Source organism: Homo sapiens, chromosome 9, assembly GCF_000001405.40.
Source record: "Homo sapiens chromosome 9, GRCh38.p14 Primary Assembly".
Classification (NCBI taxonomy): Eukaryota; Metazoa; Chordata; class Mammalia; order Primates; family Hominidae; genus Homo; species Homo sapiens.
Genome location: NC_000009.12, coordinates 116,913,689 through 116,931,580, shown reverse-complemented (window position 1 = coordinate 116,931,580; position 17,892 = coordinate 116,913,689). Strand labels below are relative to the sequence as shown.

Sequence of the window (17,892 nt, the reverse complement as noted above, 5' to 3'; positions counted from 1 at the left end):
AGTTAACAAAGTGGCCAGATTATATCTTCAGAAGTTAAAATCTTTTGCTCAATGTAGTTAACTATATTCCCCCACAAAGTTGCAAAGTAAAACCTAAGAATCTGCCTTAAAACTCATAAGAATTCAATAATTTGTTGCCTGATGCCCCTCCCAAGTTAGGGGTCTGCCTTCATGTCTTCCCCCATGAGAGGGAAGTCTCCCTGTGGGGCAGTGACTCGCACCTGTGACAGGGATGTTCTAGCCTTTCCTTGCCAACCTCCCCATCCCCACCCACAACCCATGTCTCCACCATAATAAAATGAATAGGCTCGAAGGGATAGGCCGATGGCAGGAAAGCATAAAGATCAGTTTGAATGATGAGGCTTAGCGATAAAGGCTCAAGGAGAAGGAAGCCAGTGTGTGTTGATCAGAACCCTGCCAGGTACGTCACAGCAGGTTGATGCCCTGTTCTAGAGATGGTGAAACAAAAGCTCAGAGGAGAGCAGGGGAGTGTACGTGGCATGTTGGAGAGCTGCATAAGCTGGGGCGAGTAGTAGGAGATGAGGTCGAAGATGTCACTTGGCAGAGGGTGGGAGGTGTAGATTCAGCAATAATTAGATTGGGGTCAGTAACCCAGAAGTTGATGGGAAGGACTGGGCCTGGAGGAGGAAAAATTGAGAGGGAGAAGATAATGAGTTTCCGAAGCATTGGTGAAGGAGAATCCATGAGCCTCAGGAAGCAATCTAATGGAGGGGCGGGGGAAGTGGGTAGTTGTGAAGTAGACGCTGTAAAGGTCAAGGATGATTCCCAAAAAATGTCTGCCTTGGGAGTTTGCACAGACAACTTAAGTCTTTATCATGCATACAAAGTACTCAGTAAATATTTATTAGTCAAATCCAATTTTTCTCCCTTCCCTGCCCTTCTACTGAGCTTTTGCTTTGTCCCAGACTAAATATAGAGTTCCCAAGTGCCCAATCTTTGATGCCATCCCCTCTTTGTCACCCCGAGTCTTGCTGAATGAAATCGGACACCTCTCTCAATCCACACCAGCATAACCCTGCTCAGAAGTATATAGAGTTATAGCATAACCCTGCTTAAAAAGTATATAGAGTTCTTGGGTACCCAATCTTGGGTGCCATCCCCTTTTTTTCACTCCCAGTCTTGCTGAATGAGACTTGACACCTCTCTCAGTCCACACCAGCATAACCCTGGTTACATAAGGAAGAAAATTCAAAACATCTTCTGGAGCCTGGGGCTAGGTCATTCAGAGTCCAGGTCAGGGGTCTTAAGAAGTCTTCTGACTGCTCAATAGGCACCTCCTTATATCCATCACCTTCCAAGAAACTGCAGACACACAGCCCTATCAGCAATGATTAAAAATACCAGCAGTATTTACTGAACAACAACAAAGTGGTCCATCCCAATGGTGCCCACCTGGTGCTCTCCTCACCTGGCTGTCCTCACCTCTGTTCCACTGCCCATCCCCTTCCCCACTCATCACAGTTTCCCATTTGCTTTAGCAATTGGGAAGTCACTGGCCTTGCATTTACAGCCAGGGAACTGGACACCCTGGACCTCCAGCAAGCATCCTTCCCAGTACATCCCATCAGCCTCCATTAGTATCAGGGGACTGACAGCTGAGATTGACTGCCTCATTAGCAGGTGTCGTGTGGAACTCTGACAATAATTAACAACTCAACAGTCTCATTTGCTGGCCTATCAGAGAAGTATTCAATCAAAAATGTAATTTGCCCGATGCCTCCATTTAGCATGGAAAGACTATTCCTTCAAAGTTTTAAATAGTCTAATTAAGAGGGAAGAAATAGAAGGGGAAAAATTATTAACAGTATAGGTTTAATGTGAAATTGCTGGAGCGAATTAATAATGCAATAACCATTTTTAGCAGCTGTCTATCAGTTTGTGGGCCAGAGTAATTCAATTAGTCAGCAAAGGGTTGTTTAGATGAGATAGTGGGGAAGAAGTGCTATTTTGTTTCCCAAAGGCACCATGGACTGTATTTCTCCAGGTTAGGGAGAGATACGTGCAAAATATTCCAAGATGCAGCACAGAGTCAATGTTTGGGAGCAAATGTGCCTCGTGGTTGGAGCAGGTGAACTGGCTTTTTTAGGATCTCCCAAAAAAAGTCTCAGTGCCTCTCCTTAGGGTTCACTTCCTGCAGAATTGACTCTGCAGCATCAATACCCTTGATTCAAAGCAAATAATCTATACCAAAGGAATGCATTGTAGCTAGGCCTGACTTAGGATTCCAGCCATGTCAGCTTCCAGCAGCCTAAAAGTGCTGCTACACTAGTCAGTGGCATCTTCTTTTCGTCCTGCATCTGCCACACTTCCGCCTCTTCTCATGAAGACCTTTCTCTCAAGAATGCTTTTACAGTGTCTGTGTACTAAGTCCTATTAGTCCTTCCAGGTCCAGCACATCTGCACACAGCCTTCCTTGTTTCCCCTAAACAAGCATTCTAGTTCCCAAGTCCTTTCCAACACTGACATTCTGCCACTTCCTCTTTACCTGTAAATGGGGATAATATGCTGGATCCCACTGGGAGGCGTATGTGAGGAATGCCAGAAATGCAGGCCACGACAGGCCTGGATTCTTATTTTGATTCTGCCATTTAATGGCTGTGTACACTTAAGTGATTTTTTTCACCTCTCTGTGCTTCCAGTGTCTTCCTTTGTAAAATAGAGATCAGAATTCCTATTTTGTTCACTTCTTGTGAAGGGATGAAAAATGCATAAAAAACTCATAGTACATAATAGATGCTTTAAAATGGCCACTGTTGCTATGAACGCCCTTAATACAGTGTTTAACTTACAGGTCAGCTAGGTAAACATCCTTTTTTTTTTTTACCCTGTACCTGACAAATTCCTTTGTACCTCCACAAGTCTTTGCCTTTCTAAGCATTTTCTAATAATCAACTCTTTTAATACAGTTTTCTTTTATTTCTTTCTTCCCCTTCATTTCTCTGTTCTTTTGTAAACTCATGGAGTGTATGATTTATAACATATTACACTTTGCTCCAAAGCAGTGCCCAGCAATCTCCCTTGCACGTGGTAGGCTTGAGTATCTGCTGCAGAAACTGGAAGTACATACAAGGTTAGGGGAGGAACAGCTGTTACGACAAAGATTTCTGAGTAAACATGAGCTCAGGGGTGTATGACTGCCCATTAGTCTTCAAATCTATATGTGGAATTTTTTTAGAATATCTGAAAAATGTAATTGGAATTTCTATTTAAAGATATATTATACTGTAATGGTTAAATTGCTGGACTTTGGTGTCAATCACAGCTGACTGGCATTTCAGCTGTTTCTCTGAGGCTTCCAAAGTCCCTTCTCTGTGCCTCAGTTTTTTCATGTGTAAAATAGACACTGGTAGACCTACCCTGGGGGCTGTTATGAGGACCCAGAAAGGTTTTTCACATACGGCATCTGCCAGGTAGTAGGTATTGAGTAAATGGTCGTTGTTTTCACATAATTTGGAAGAGGGAGGCAGTTGGGAGATCAGGGATAGCAACAGGGAGGGAAGCTGAGTCAAGCTGTGGAGTGTCATGAGAAAGGCTGGTCTCTAGCAAGTTGAAAGCAAGGAGGAGATACTGTGGGTTGTTGCATACACATGAAAGGGTATACGGAGGGAACAGTAGCCAAAGCTAAATTGGTGTGATTTCCCAAAGGGAAGAAAAACACCACAGGGAGCTGTCGGCATTGACAACCAGTTTTATGCAGCAACAGGGCAGTACAATGGAGTTTTCAGTCACTTACTCACATATTCCAAGAACACTTATGTGAGCATGATCCTGGGGTAGGAATTACATGGCAAAGAAAGATGCATCAGAAAATTTCCCCCCACCTCCAGCCCCGAGATGCTTATGTTTAGAGAGGGAGCTGGCGCTCAGGCACATGAGAGTTTGGAGCCTAATAGAGTCCAGCCACCATTCCTTGGGAGTCCGCAAGTGTCAAAAGAAGGACCACCTAGTACAGACTTCTATTGTAACTATAATCCATTCACTGTGGCCAAGACAATTCTCATAGATAGAGCTGATCAATCCAAAGCAGTGAATTGTGTGAATACTTATGCATGTGTTGTTACATAAGGGAGTTACCAGAGCTGGTTAAAAAAGGAATCTCAACACCAGCAAAAGCCAGGAAAGCAAAACCCACCAGCTTCCTGTTAGTAATGATAAATATATGAAAACAAGACACCCCGTGATTATAAGGCTTATCATGGCTCTACATTTATTTCAGGATGGCCATGTGACTGTCTCACCTGTTAAGGACTCCACATGCACGATCTCCTTTAACAGTAGAAACCAGTCTTTTGGGAGATCAGAAGCCATGCACCCTAGGGAGAGGTTCTGATGAGGGAGGTGGTGGAGACCACCCCAATAAAAGCAGAGGTATGGATGGAAGGCAACAGAGATACCCTGCCACATACATTCCTCAGTGAAACGCTCAAGGTTTTCTGCAATCTGCAATGAAAATGGGTTTCTTTGGTACTCCTCCTTAGCCTTCTCAAGGATAGATGTCTCAGAGCTGACCTCTTTGCTATATTCCAGCTAATTAGTTTTTCTAAAACTTGTAAACCACGATTCATTGTTCTCAGACTCTGTTCAACTGTTCTTGCTTTTATCTTTGTTTTCATACATCTTATTTTGTTTCTATTTCTAAATAATCTCCTGATGGCCCTCTCCCTCATATATATTTAATTGCATGCAACTAATTAGATGCCTTTTGGTAATTTTCTGATAAAGTGATTAAGAACTTGGGTTTTGGAGTCAGCTACACATGAGTTCAAATCTCAGCCGTGTCACTCTGTGGATGACCTTGAGTTAACTTATTCAGTTATCAGTTTTCTCATCTGTAAAATAGGAATTTTAAAAGAGTTACCCACTCACGATCCTGGAAAAGACTTAAATGAAGCAAAGTATATAAGGTCCATAAGATAGTGCCTGGAGCTTAGTAATTAAATGCCATATTTAAATTATTATCAGCATGGCTAGATGTATTATTATGAGCATTGGTCAAACATCTCTTGTAACTCCAGTGAAAAACAATAGCAATGCCAAAATTATGTACATGTGTTTTATCAAGGTAAAGAGGTTGAAATGGAACTCGATAACATGAAGGCAGGGACCAAAAAGAAGGAGGAAAGAGCAGAGAAGTTTCTACAAGAGCAGATGAAGCTGGCAAGGCTATAGAAGATATAGCACCAAAGAGATCTATGCACCAAAAAGAAAGCTCTAACTTGCAGTGGCAGGGGGTGGCAACGATTAAGGGAACTGCATAAATTATTGAAATCAATATGTTTTTGAAGCAGTTTTGAAAATGATTTTAAGAGCTCTGATGAGAAAGAGGTTACAGCAGGAAGCTTGAAGACATCATTGATGGTTTCTTAGACACTGTAGTATTTGAACTTGGTCTTGGTGATCATACAGGGAACAACATTACAAACAGGGGCACCACCTGAGAAAGAGCTTTCTGGGAGGCCAGGATGGGATGGCATGCACAGTAGACCAGTTTGGATGGAGCATGATAAGGAATGGAGGAAGAAAGTTTCAGAAGAAAGGATGGAATTTAAATCATAAAGGGTCATATGTTCAGGCTACAGTGTTTCAGCTTTACCTTACAGGCAGTGAAGGAACACTGGATGTTTTTGAATGTATGAGCATCCCTATGTGCATGTGTGCATGTGTATATATGTGTGTGTGTGTGTGTGTGTGTGTGTGTTGTGTTGTGTATCTCCTTGCATATGGGGGCAGGACAGGGATAGTTCAGGGAAGGTGAGGTACATATGGTCTAAGCTGAACATCAGGAAGCTTGATCTTTCTTAATAATTTTTTAAATTATTAATCACAGCCTACAATATGTTCATCCCCCCACCCCCCACACATGGAAAAATAGGAGTAGCAGGGTTTCTATTTAGATTTGTCTGAGAAACTGGAAGAAGTACTCAGGAACTGCAGGTAATGCCTAATAAGAGAGTGGTTCCCAGAGACAGACCCAAGCTTCCTTTATCGTATCTGTGTAGCAGAGAGCCTGTATGAGTACATGTGAGTATGTGTGTACACACATACATCTGCATGTCCTTCCAGGCACTGGAAAAGGAGCCTGACTTGTCTGTTGTTCTGAGACTACAAGCCCCAGGTGATGAAATCTAGCAGGAAGAAGCTCATCTTCTGCCCCATTACACAGCTACTTGAAAAATGACTATCATGATAGGTGGGCATTCCTTCTCTAACTGGGAGACTCCTCACTCCTCCTCATAAGGTTCTCAAGAGGTATCATTCAATGTAAAACACTTAATAGAATGCCTAGCACATAGGAGACACTGAATAATTATTAATATGATGATGGTAGTGGTGGTAGTGCTGATGACTAAGCAGGGGCTGTAGCTCTGAGCAGAGTGTACTAAAATATCTGATATTTTGTTAACTGTAAGACAGGAAATGATTCTTTTATATTAAGAAAGCAAATATGGGTATATGAGACTTAGATATTAATAAAATATTGGCTCTCTGGACCTCATTTTTCCCAACTGTAAAATAAGGGATTTGATTCTGAGGGTTCTCAGCTCAGATCTCCTAAGTGGCAAGAGTGACTTGTTTGGAAGTCGTATACTAGTCAGAGTGTTAGAAGATTTGAACCACAGTGACTTCATCTTGAGTCGGGGCTGGGCAAAATGAGGCTGAGACCTATTGGGCTGCACTCCCAGAAGGTTAAGGCGTTCTTAGTCACAGGATGAGATAGGAGGTCAGCACAAGATCCAGGTCATAAAGACCTTGCTAATAAAACAGGTTGCAGTAAAGAAGCTATCCAAATCCCACCAAAACCAAGATGGCCACAAAAGTGACCTCTGGTCATCCTCACTGCTCATTATATGCTAATTATAATGAATTAGCATCCTAAGAGGCACTCCCACCAGCACCATGACTGTTTACAAATGCCATGGCAACGTCAGAAAGTTACCTTATATGGTCTAAAAAGGGGATGAACCCTCAGTTCCAGGAATTGCCTGCCCCTTTCCCGGAAAATTCATGAATAACCTACCCTTTGTTTAGCATATAATTAATAAAGAAGTAACAATAAGTATAAGAAGCTGAGCAGCCCATGCCACCGCTGCCAATGGAGTAGCCATTCTTTTTTTTTTTTTTTTTTTTTTGAGATGAAGTCTTGCTCTGTCACCCAGGCTGGAGTTCAGTGGTGCAATCTCTACTCACTGTAACCTCTGCCTCCTGGGTTCAAGCAAGTCTCCTGCCTCAGCCACCTGAGTAGCTGGGATTACAGGATCGTGCCACCACACTCAGCTAAGTTTTTTTTTTTTTTTTTTTTTTTTTATATTTTTAGTAGAGATAGGATTTCACCATGTTGGCCAGGCTGGTTCCGAACTCCTGACCCCAGGTGATCCTCCTGCCTCAGCCTCCCAAAGTGCTGGGATTATAGGCTTGAGCCACTGTGCCTAGCCTGGAGTAGCCATTTTTTATTCCTTTACTTTCCTAATAAACGTGCTTTCACTTTGCTTTACGGATTCACCTTAAATTCTTCCTTGTGCAAGATCCAAGAACCCTCTATTGGGTTCTGGATTGGGACCCCTTTCCAGTAACAAGAGGAGAAGCTTCCAGTGCCTTCACCTCAGGGCCCTGCTCCACAGCACATGGGAGATGGCTTCTGGAGAGACAGATCTAGGCACCATCAGCAAGTGCCTTCTCTTAGTAAGACCTGTTCAACACTGAAGTGGTGAGTTCCCTGGCACTGGAGCAAGGTGTGCTCTATGTGGACACTCCAGAGAGAACCCTTGCATGGGTCAGAAGTTAGATTAAATCTCCTCTGCTGAGCTTTCTTCCAAGTCTGAGATTTAAGGATTCCAAGTTGAATTCTTCATTTCCACCCTCCAGCTCTTTTTGAGATTTTCCCAGCCCTAATGCAGAACAACCACTCATCTGAGTCCCTAAAGAAATCTCCATCTCCAGGGGTAAAAGCTGAGGAAAGTTGGTGTACGTCTCTGCCAAGCCTCATCAAAGAACACCAAGTCATATCACAAAATAGTTTTGTATAGCTATCTACTCCTCACTCACCTTTTCTCATAACTTCAAATGGAACCACTCTGCCTAAGGCAGAAGTCTGGTTTTTCCAGGACAACTGTAAAGACAAGGGCATCAAGAGAAGCCGTCTAATAGCTGACTTGGCCCCTCCAAGAGTGACTATCTCATTGTAGGGTTAAGGAGCATCTGGTACCATGATCAACCCAAACCTGGGGGCGAAGAAACAGAATGCAAAGCTTCTGTCCTTCAGTGAACAAATTGGCTGGCTGTGGTGATAACCTCCAGATGTTAGAAGTGATTAGAAGAGACAGCACAGGAAGGACTTCCAGACTTCTGGCTGAGCCTGAACAGGTCTCAAAGTCCTATCTAAAAAATAAAATTTTGGTTAGAATTGTACTGTTATAACCTTGGAAAGAAGGGGACAAGGTTGAGATTTAGGCGGGCTTTGTTTGAGTCTGAACCTTAATGTCCTTGTTTGTAAAGTGGCATTGTTGAACCTTACCTGTTGGGGTTTGTTATGAGATATAGGTAAGAAATATATGCAAAGAACCTAATACTGCCTGTGGAAGGTTCTGCACCACCTCTGCCCTATAAGGCCCCTTCCAATCTTCATGTCCTGTGAGTCTATTGTTTTAAGCCACCATTTTTTAAGAAGTATTTTCAGAATAAAAAGGCAGAAATCTCTTTCAGTCTCCAAACTTCCAGCCCACCCCAAAGTACATATTTCTTAGCAGTTTGATATGCTTATCCCCAGAACTGTTGACATGAATTTACATAGGTAAATTTTAATCTGATTGGGATCACACTGAATGTTTTTGTGAAACTTGCTTTTTCTACTAATACGAAGTTTTAAAGATGTCTCCATATCAATTCATCCAGATCTACAATATTCTTTTTCACAGCTCATTAATATTCCATAACACAGATGTATCATGATTCATTTCACCACCAGCCAGTAATGGACTTTTACATTATCACATGTTTTTACTATTACAAACAATGCAACAATACACAGACTTGTGCATGCATTTTTGTGACTAGGTTTTAGTATTTTTAAGTATTTTCAAATGGAATTATATGTTAAAGTGTAAAAATATTTGACATTTTGATAGGCACACCTAAATTGCCCCCTGAGTCTATGATTCCAAGGCTTAAATGAGTCATTATTGAAAAAAATGATTAAAAACTCATTATGAATCTGGCATTGTAGCAATATATAAAATTAATCATAACCAAACACAGGGCCTTCCTTGAAAAGCTTATAATTTGTTATGGGTACACATGTTTATGAACAATAATAATTCAAGGTATAAAGTATTCAGGCATAGCTTAGGGAAAATAACAAGTGCCCTTTCTGGGGAAGATAGCTTTTGACTTAGTAATGCATAGGAGGGTTGTAGTTATGTCATTCCAAGAGGAGTCCCACCTTCAAAGGAAGTAGTAAGAAAAGACTTCCGGAAGGAAGAGGTTCTAGGGCAGAGGAACTTCTGTGAGAGAGGAAGGAGATGTGAATAGAGAAGTAGGAGATGGTGATATGGTTTGGATTTGTATTGCCACCCAAATCCCATGTTCAGTTGTAATATCCAGAGCTGGATGTGGGGCCCTGATATGGTTTGGCTGTGTCCCCACCCAAATCTCATCTTGAATTTTAATTCCCATAATCCCCATGTGTCAAGAGAGGGACCCAGTGGAAGGTTATTGGATAATGGGGGTGGTTTCCCCCATACTGTTCTCATAATGGTGAGTGAGTTCTCACAAGATCAGATAAGTGTTTAGCCAGTTCCTCCCTCCTTTCTCACTGTGTCTTTTCTGACACCTTGTGAAGAAGGTGCCTGCTTCCCCTTCCAACACGATTGTAAGTTTCCTGAGGCCTCTCCAGCCATGCAGAACTGTAAGTCAATTAAACCTCCTTTGTTTATAAATTACCCAGTCTTGGGTAGTTCTTTTTTTTTTTTTTTTTTTTAGACGGAGTCTCGCTCGGTCGCCCAGGCTGGAGTACAGTGGTCCAATCTCGGCTCACTGCAAGCTCCGCTTCCCAGGTTCACACCATTCTCCTGCCTCAGCCTCCGGAGCAGCTGGGACTACAGGCGACCTCCACCACACCTGGCTAATTTTTTGTATTTTTAGTACAGACAGAGTTTCACCGTGTTAGTCAGTATTGTCTCAATCTCCTGACCATGTGATCCGCCCGCCTCAGCCTCCCAAAGTGCTGGAATTACAGGCGTGAGCCACCACGCCCAGCCAGGTAGTTCTTTATAGCAGTGTGAGAACAGGCTCATGCAGGTCTGGTGGAAGGTGATTGGATCATGGTGGCTGTTTCTCATGGTTTAAGAGCATCCCCCTTGATACTGTCATCATGATAGTGAATTCTTGTGAGATCTTGTTGTCTAAAAGTGTGTGGTACCTCCCCCATCTCTCTCATGGTCCTGCTCCTACCATGTCAGATGTATGCTCCCACTTTGCTTCCACCATGAGTAGAAACTCCCTGAGGCCTCCCCAGAAGCAGATGTGGCCATACTTCCTATAAAGCCTGTAGAACGGTGAGCTAGTTCAACCTCTTTTCTTTATACATTACTCAGTCTCAGGTATTTCATTGTAACAGTGTGAGAATAGACTAAAACAGATGGATATTTCCTGTGAGGACATAGTCTAAAATAAAGCAGGCTTTAAGATCAGCTAGACTTGAATCCTGGCTTTGCTCCTACTAGCTACGTTGTCTTGAGCAGGTAACTTAACCTCTAGGAGCTTCAGTGTATTCATCTGTAAAATGGAGTTAGTAATCGTAGTGACCTCAGCAAGTCATCATTCATCATTTCACCAAATACTCAGTGAACACATACCGGGGTCCTGGTATTGTTCTAGAAAATGGGATGCAACTGTAAACAAATCAGACAAAATCCCCCTGCCCTCATGGAGCCAACATTGTAACTGAGGGTTAAATGATGCATGTATGGTCAAGAGCTTAGCATAGTACCTAAATCATGGTAAAGCATTTTTCTTTGTACTATTAAGGCAAGAAGGCACTGTGAGCAGGAAGAAGGGAGCTTGCAGTAGACAGGTGGGATCCTGACCCAGGATTTTTTTTGAGAGACCCTGAAAGTTGGTTGCCCCCATTCTTCATTTTATTTCTATCTTTCCATTGGCCTCTTTCATGCTGTTCCCTTTAAGTTATTCTCTGTTAATTCTGCCTCTTACAGGAGCTGGAGAACCATTCTTCTGCTTTTAAGCCACTAAAATTATTTAGGGCCTCTATGTAGAGCAAAGCCAGCTGGCCCTACTCATCTGAGCCTGGAAGCTCTACTGGGGAACCAGGGAGAGGGGCTGCTTCTGAGACAGAGCCACATGCTCAGGAAAAAGGTCCTTTATCCAGGGAAACTGCTGCTGTCCAGGAAGAAAACTTTTAGAGCTCAGACCATCTTTAGAGAGCATCTAATCCAACCCCCATTTCCATTGTACACAGAATACCAAGGAGGCAGCATTTGAAACAAGACTTGTCCATTATAAGAACTAAATTGCAAAGAGCAGGAAGTGCTGTTTCTGTCAGCCATGAACTGATGACCACCACACTCTAATTCCTAATATTAAAAAATTACTTTTTTTTTTTTTTTTGAGACAGATTCTCGCTCTGTCACCCAGGCTGGAGTGCAGTGGTGTGATCTCAGCTCACTGCAGCCTTCACCTCCTGGGCTCAAGCAATCCTCCCACTGCAGCCTCCAAAGAGGATGGGACTATAGACCACCATCAAGCTTGGCTAATTTTTGTATTTTTAGTGGAGATGGGGTTTTGCCATGTAGCCCAGGCTAGTCTCAAACTCCTGGGATCAAGCAATCCACCTGCCTCAGCCTCCTAAAGGGCTGATTACAGGTGTGAGCTACTGCTCTCAGCTAAAAAAAAAAAAAAAAAAAAAAATGATGTTTTTGTAAACAATTGACACAACCAAGAATTGTTCTGTGGTCATCAGAGGAGGAGGGACCTTGTTGTTTTTAAGAAGCAAGGATGAAAAATTCATAGGTCCATGAAACTCAGGGAGTTAAGGGACATTAGAAAGAGGCTGCAGTATTTGTCCAGTAGAATATTTAGGATTGTTAAAACGTTCACAGTGTGTTCCCAAGGAAATTGAGGTATTATCTTTTAGACATGTAAGAGGAAATTATGTTGATCTTTGAGGTTCCATTTCTCTTCTACATTTGGAGAGACAAAAGCCCAGAGATGGGAAGAATTGCCAAGGTCGCACAACAATTAGGGGCAAACATAGCCACAAAATCAGGACTTCCAAATGGATAACTCCTTGCCCTCCACCTCCATCCCTACCACATCAAACTTCTTGTTTTTGATTCAATCTATACCAATCAGGTAAGCTGGGAACTGATCCTCACATGATAATTACTGCTATGGGGTTAGGTTTTACTCTCATGCCAGGCTCTGTGCCATAGCACACTTGGTGAGTACAATCGCAAAACATCCTCTGTGGGAAGCCCAACTGTCAGCTCCCTTTTAGAGATGAGAAAACTGAGGCTCAGGGAAGTTTAAAAAAAAAAGCCCAAAATGATACAGTGAATAAATAGCAACAATTTTAAATTTGTGGTTTTTATTTATTATGTAAAAAGAAATCCCTAGTCATAAAAAGATAGAAAATAAACATCTCAAATATATATATTTTTAAACCCCAGGCACATATAAATATTGTTTGACTCACTCTGGAGTTTGCTTTTTAAAATTTTGTTAACTATATAGACTTATGTTTATAAGACTGTAATCATATGTCTATACAACTCTGCACCAGCTTCCTATTAAACCTAAGCATGTTCCATGTTTATTACACAGTCTTTGTAAACATCATTTCTGATAGCTGCATAATAGTCCGTGTAATGGAGATGCCAGAGGGACACTAGCAAGGCAAACAGTGGAAAGGAGGGAAACACAGAGAGAGAAAAGAAGGTAGAAGATTGACATTTAGAGGCAGAATGTAAATGAAAAAATATGAAAAAAAAGTTTGAAAGAAGCCTATGGAATCTGGCCCTTATCTGATTCATAAAGGGTTTTAGGCAGGTTTTTCAGAATGGCATGAGAATTCAGGGAAGAGCTGGGAGAGAAAGAATGGTGACCTGTTTACATTTCTAGTCTGGATTATTACAACAACCTGCTGACTCCATCCCCCAGCCTCAAGACTGTGACACAGGACAGGAAATTTCATTGTCTATGAGGCTGCCCCCTGTGCCCTCCACTGCTAGTCACCTGCAGAAAGCCCTCCCTGTTTCCTGCTCAATGAGCAGCCTCTCCCTCTACTCTGCTAGCTCTGGGTGCTTTGCCCATCCACACAGGTATGGGGTACTGTATCAGTCCATATATATGCTACTGATAAAGACATACACAAGGCTGGGAAGAAAAAGAGGTTTAATTGGACTTACAGTTCCACATGGCTGGGGAGGCATCAGAATCATGATGGGAGGTGAAAGGCTCTTCTTACATGGTGGCGGCAAGAGAAAATGAGGAAGAAGCAAAAGCGGAAACCCCTGATAAACCCATCAGATCTCGTGAGACTTATTCACTATCATGAGAATAGCATGGGAAAGACCAGCCCCCATGATTCAATTATCTCCCCCTGGGTCCCTCCCACAACACATAGGAATTCTAGGAGATACAATTCAAGTTCAGATTTAGGTGGTGACACAGCCAAACCATATCAGGCACTATCTTGAGGCTAGTACCATATCTCCCATGTTCATGCCAGAGTCCCAGGGCCTAACACAGTACCAGATCCATAGAAGGTGCTCAGAATAATTTTACAAACTTTTATAATTAACCAATTACATGATCAATTAATTAACACAGGCTACTTCACCTTTCCATTCCAACTTTTTCTCCTCTGCAGTATTTATAAGTCATTAATGTACATAGGAATCCTCTGGGGACCAGAACATGGCAAGTTGCAGATTCTTATGTAGAGGGTTTGGGATGAGGCCTGGGATTCTGCATTTCTAACAAGTTATGAGGAAAAAGCTATTCCTCTTTAAGACACAAGTTCAGAAATTCTATTGTCTCCAGACCCAAAAGTTTTTACGTCCTATGCTTTAACGCATTTGTTTATTCACTCAGTAAACATTGATGGGTCATCTATAGTAATCTAAGCCCTGTGCATGGAACGGGGGGCTCAATCATGATCCAAGTAGACATGGACCCTGCCCTCTTAGAGCTTATGGTCTAGTTGGGGGGTGGGGCTGACATTAACTCAAAAACTCACCAATTATTAATACTTGCAAACTGAGCTATGTGCCAGGGAGGAAAGTAGTGCAATGTTATGAGAGTTCACTGGGATCAAGGGACCTATGGAGAGGGTTGGACAGCTTTTTTGAGAAAGTCACAGTTGATCTAACATCTACAGGATGAGCAGGAGTAAAGGGAAAGGAGGTGAGAAAAAGCTCTTGGGGCAGAAGGAACAACATGCACAGACTGTGTGCAGTAAGAATGTGATGAATATGAATGGGGTCTTTGCAATCCACAGGAGTCCACAAGACTTCCCTGTCACTTAAGCAAAATAATGAGGGGAGAAAAAAAAAATCTCCATAGAGGGTTTTTCCAGCCCCAATGGCTGGAACAATAACATTTCTTAAACTCTTATAGAATCTTGGATCAATGGGAAAGATGGGGATAGAAGTGAGAAAGGGAAGACCAACTACATTCATATTGGTTTTGTTTTTGTTTTTGTTTTTGTTTTTTTGAGACTGGGTCTCACCCTGTCACCCAGGCTGGAGTTCAGTGGCACAATCTTGGCTCACTGCGACCTCTGCCTCCCAGGCTCAAGCAATCTCAGCCTCCCAAGTAGCTGGGGCCACAGGCACACACCACCACACCTAGTTAATTTTAGTAATTTTTGTAGAGACGGGTCTCACTTTGTTGCTGGTCTCAAACTCCTGAGCTCAAGCAATCTGCCCACCTTGGCCTCCCAAAGTGGTGGGATTACAGGCATGAGCCACCACACCTGGCCCACATCTTTCTACTATAGGAGGAAATGGAATGTAGGCCAAAGGGTCCAGGTGTTGGTGTCAGACGGCCAAAGACTTGAATTTAAAATTTTGCCTCTATCACTTAACACTGATCTTGGGCAAGCTGTTTACACCTTTCTGAGCTTATTTTCCTCACCTGTAAGATGGAAACAATCATATAGTAACCATCTTTCATGGCTGTGATGAGACATTTCTGAGCTAATTTGGACAAAGTTGCTACTCTGTGAATTTTCACTCTCTCTCCCAGCCTTCCTACCACAAGACTTTGGGTGTCTGAGGAGATGTGATCTTGCTTTGACGGCTCAACACTTTTCACTGATGGTGGGCCATTCATGGTCAGGGACAGACAACAACATGAAACCCCAACATGTGGAAATAAGGCTACATTCTAGAGGAAAACCTGCATCTTGACTCACCACACTTCCAACACCAAATGTAGGGATTGTTTTCCCCACACCAACCAGTTTTCTAACTCTCTGGACACCAGCTAAGTGTCCTGCAATTTAATTCAGTTCTGACAAAAACTCCATGTGGGTTTGAAATCTTAGTCCCAGAAGACTGCCCTCACTTCAGACACCTGACACAAGTATCCTCACAGTTCCCTCTGACTTGGCTACAAATTCAGGGGTACCCATAACCCCACTGCAAGCCACTTTCCACCTCACTCCCCATCCAGGTTCAATAATTTGTCAGAACAGGTCACAAAACTCAGGGAAATATTTACTTTGATTTTTACTGGTTTATTCTAAAGGATGCAGATGAACAGACAGATGAAGAAGTACATAGCGTGAGGTCCAGAAAAATCCCAAGTGCAGGAGCTTCTGTCCCCATGCAATTGGGGTGCACCACCCTCCAGGCACATGGATGCATCCACCAACTCAGATACTCTTCAGGCCCTGCAGCTTAAGGATTTTTATGGAGGCTTCATCATGTAGCCAAGATTGACGTGATTAACTCTCCAGCTCCTCTTCTCTTCCCAGATAATGGGGAGTTGAGGCTGAAAGTTCCAAGTTTCTAATCATGGCTTGCCCTTTCTGGTGACCAGCTCCCATCCTGAAGCTATCCAGGATCCCACCAAGAATCACCTCATTAAAACAAAATATGCTCTTACCAGTCAGGACATTACAAGGGTTTTGGGAGCTCTATGTCAGGAACTTGAGGCAGAGGCCAAATACATAGTTCTTATTATGTCCACACCTCCTCAGGAGTAAACAGTGAAAAGTCAACTTTGAGACCTTGTGCTGATGTGCTAGTCTGCAAAAGCCTCTTCCCAAGAAGTTTGTCCATGACCATGGCCATGAGAACTTTTTGGTCTTTTAGGGAGTCTAGAGTCACTGCTACAGACATGTTAAGATATCAGCCCAGATATTTGCTTTGTATTCAATGGCATTGACATATCTTAATGGGGACTGCTCCCCAGGGCAAGAGAGGGCAGTGTGTTCTGTCAAAATGAGGCATCCCTAAGAAAAGTTTGCAAAGAACATCTCACATTTTGGGAGAAGGGGCTGTGGAGCTGCCCACTAATCCTGGGCTCCTCCTGTGTGAATTTGAAGGCTGAAGTATCCTAAGGCAGCATCTGGAGGTTGAATACCAGGCAGACCTGAGGCCAGAGCTCAGCTTCAGCCTTTACTGGTTTTATGACTTTGAGCTGGTGATTGCTTCTCACAGAGCCTTAGTTAGCTCATCTACAAAATGGGGATCCCAGGATCCACTTTGAGGTGCAGTGGGAGGGATTAAATTAGCCAGCGAACATTAAACCTCTCCAGAGTGCTCTGCCTTAGGAGGTGCCATTACTGCTGTGGCAGCTGCCAGTGACATCTGGCATAATTCTTGGTCCTGCCACCCAGGGTTGGGTGGCATAAATTCCTATCCTCTTCCCTATCTGAGCCTCAGATGTGAAGATCTGTACAGTGGGCTTCTCAGGACCACCTCATGAAGACTGAGATTGAGATTGTAAAAAAAAATATATATAAATAATAATAATAATAATAATAATAAAACACTTTACAGTGTCTGGCACAGAGTAGGACCTCAGCAAAGGGTCACTCTATTATTTTACAAATGCTGTTATTATTATTATTACTCAGTCAACAAGGACTGGGATATGCTCAGCTTAGAATTGACTTACATGACCAAAAGACTCAGGAATTAGATGCATTCTCCTGAAGTTCAGAGCTGTTGTCCTTCAAGCCACTGAAGTTCTATTTAGACCATTTATTCTATTCCCATTTTGCAGATGAAGCACTGGGGCCCAGAAAAGAGAAGTGTCTTTCTCATGTTCACATAGCTAGTCAGTAACAGCCTGCACTGAACCTGATTGCAGCCTTTGCTCTGCCATGCCACAGCAACTCTCCTTCAGCTTCTTTCCTGGTATTCAAGAACCTCGTCCCCATAGCACGAGTTCTTCTAGCCATATCCTCTGCTGCTTCCCTAACAAGACCAGCTCAGCTTCTCTACTTACTATTACTTAAAACATTTCCTATTTCCAGGCTCCACACCTCTGCATATGCTGTTCTCTCTATCTAGAATGCCTACTCCACTCCTTACCTAAGGAAACTATCATCAATCTGTTCCTTTTCTTGTCTTTGAGGCTCTGGAGCTAGAAACATACTCACAGAGGAATACCATAAGTGAATGTGAATTTTCTGATTCTTCCAAAGTCATGTGCCACCCCATAATTTCCATGAGGACTGAACAGAAAGGAACTTGGTCCATGTGGCTCCACTCACCTTCTCACACATGCCTGAGAGTTAGGAGCAGTATAGATTACTTTAATGACAGTATTACTTCCAACTGCGTCTCTCCCATCTGTTCTTCCCCAATTACGAATGCAGAAACCCAGCATGTGTCTCCATTC

General features: G+C 42.7%; 1 protein-coding gene across 3 annotated transcripts in view, besides 1 other annotated feature; it reads left to right on the top strand.

The window, feature by feature from the left end:
* ASTN2 (astrotactin 2) overlaps positions 1-17,892 on the top strand; it is a 991,946-nt gene that overhangs the window by 483,477 nt on the left and 490,577 nt on the right. The gene's annotated exons all lie outside the window — the stretch shown is intronic.
* Positions 1,935-2,877: an enhancer, noted in NCBI's record as "OCT4-NANOG-H3K27ac hESC enhancer chr9:119690983-119691925 (GRCh37/hg19 assembly coordinates)". NCBI's record gives its function as "activates a minimal SCP1, AML or CMV promoter by ChIP-STARR-seq in naive and primed H9 embryonic stem cells {active_cell/tissue: H9 hESC(naive and primed)}" and the evidence as "EXISTENCE:reporter gene assay evidence [ECO:0000049][PMID:30033119]".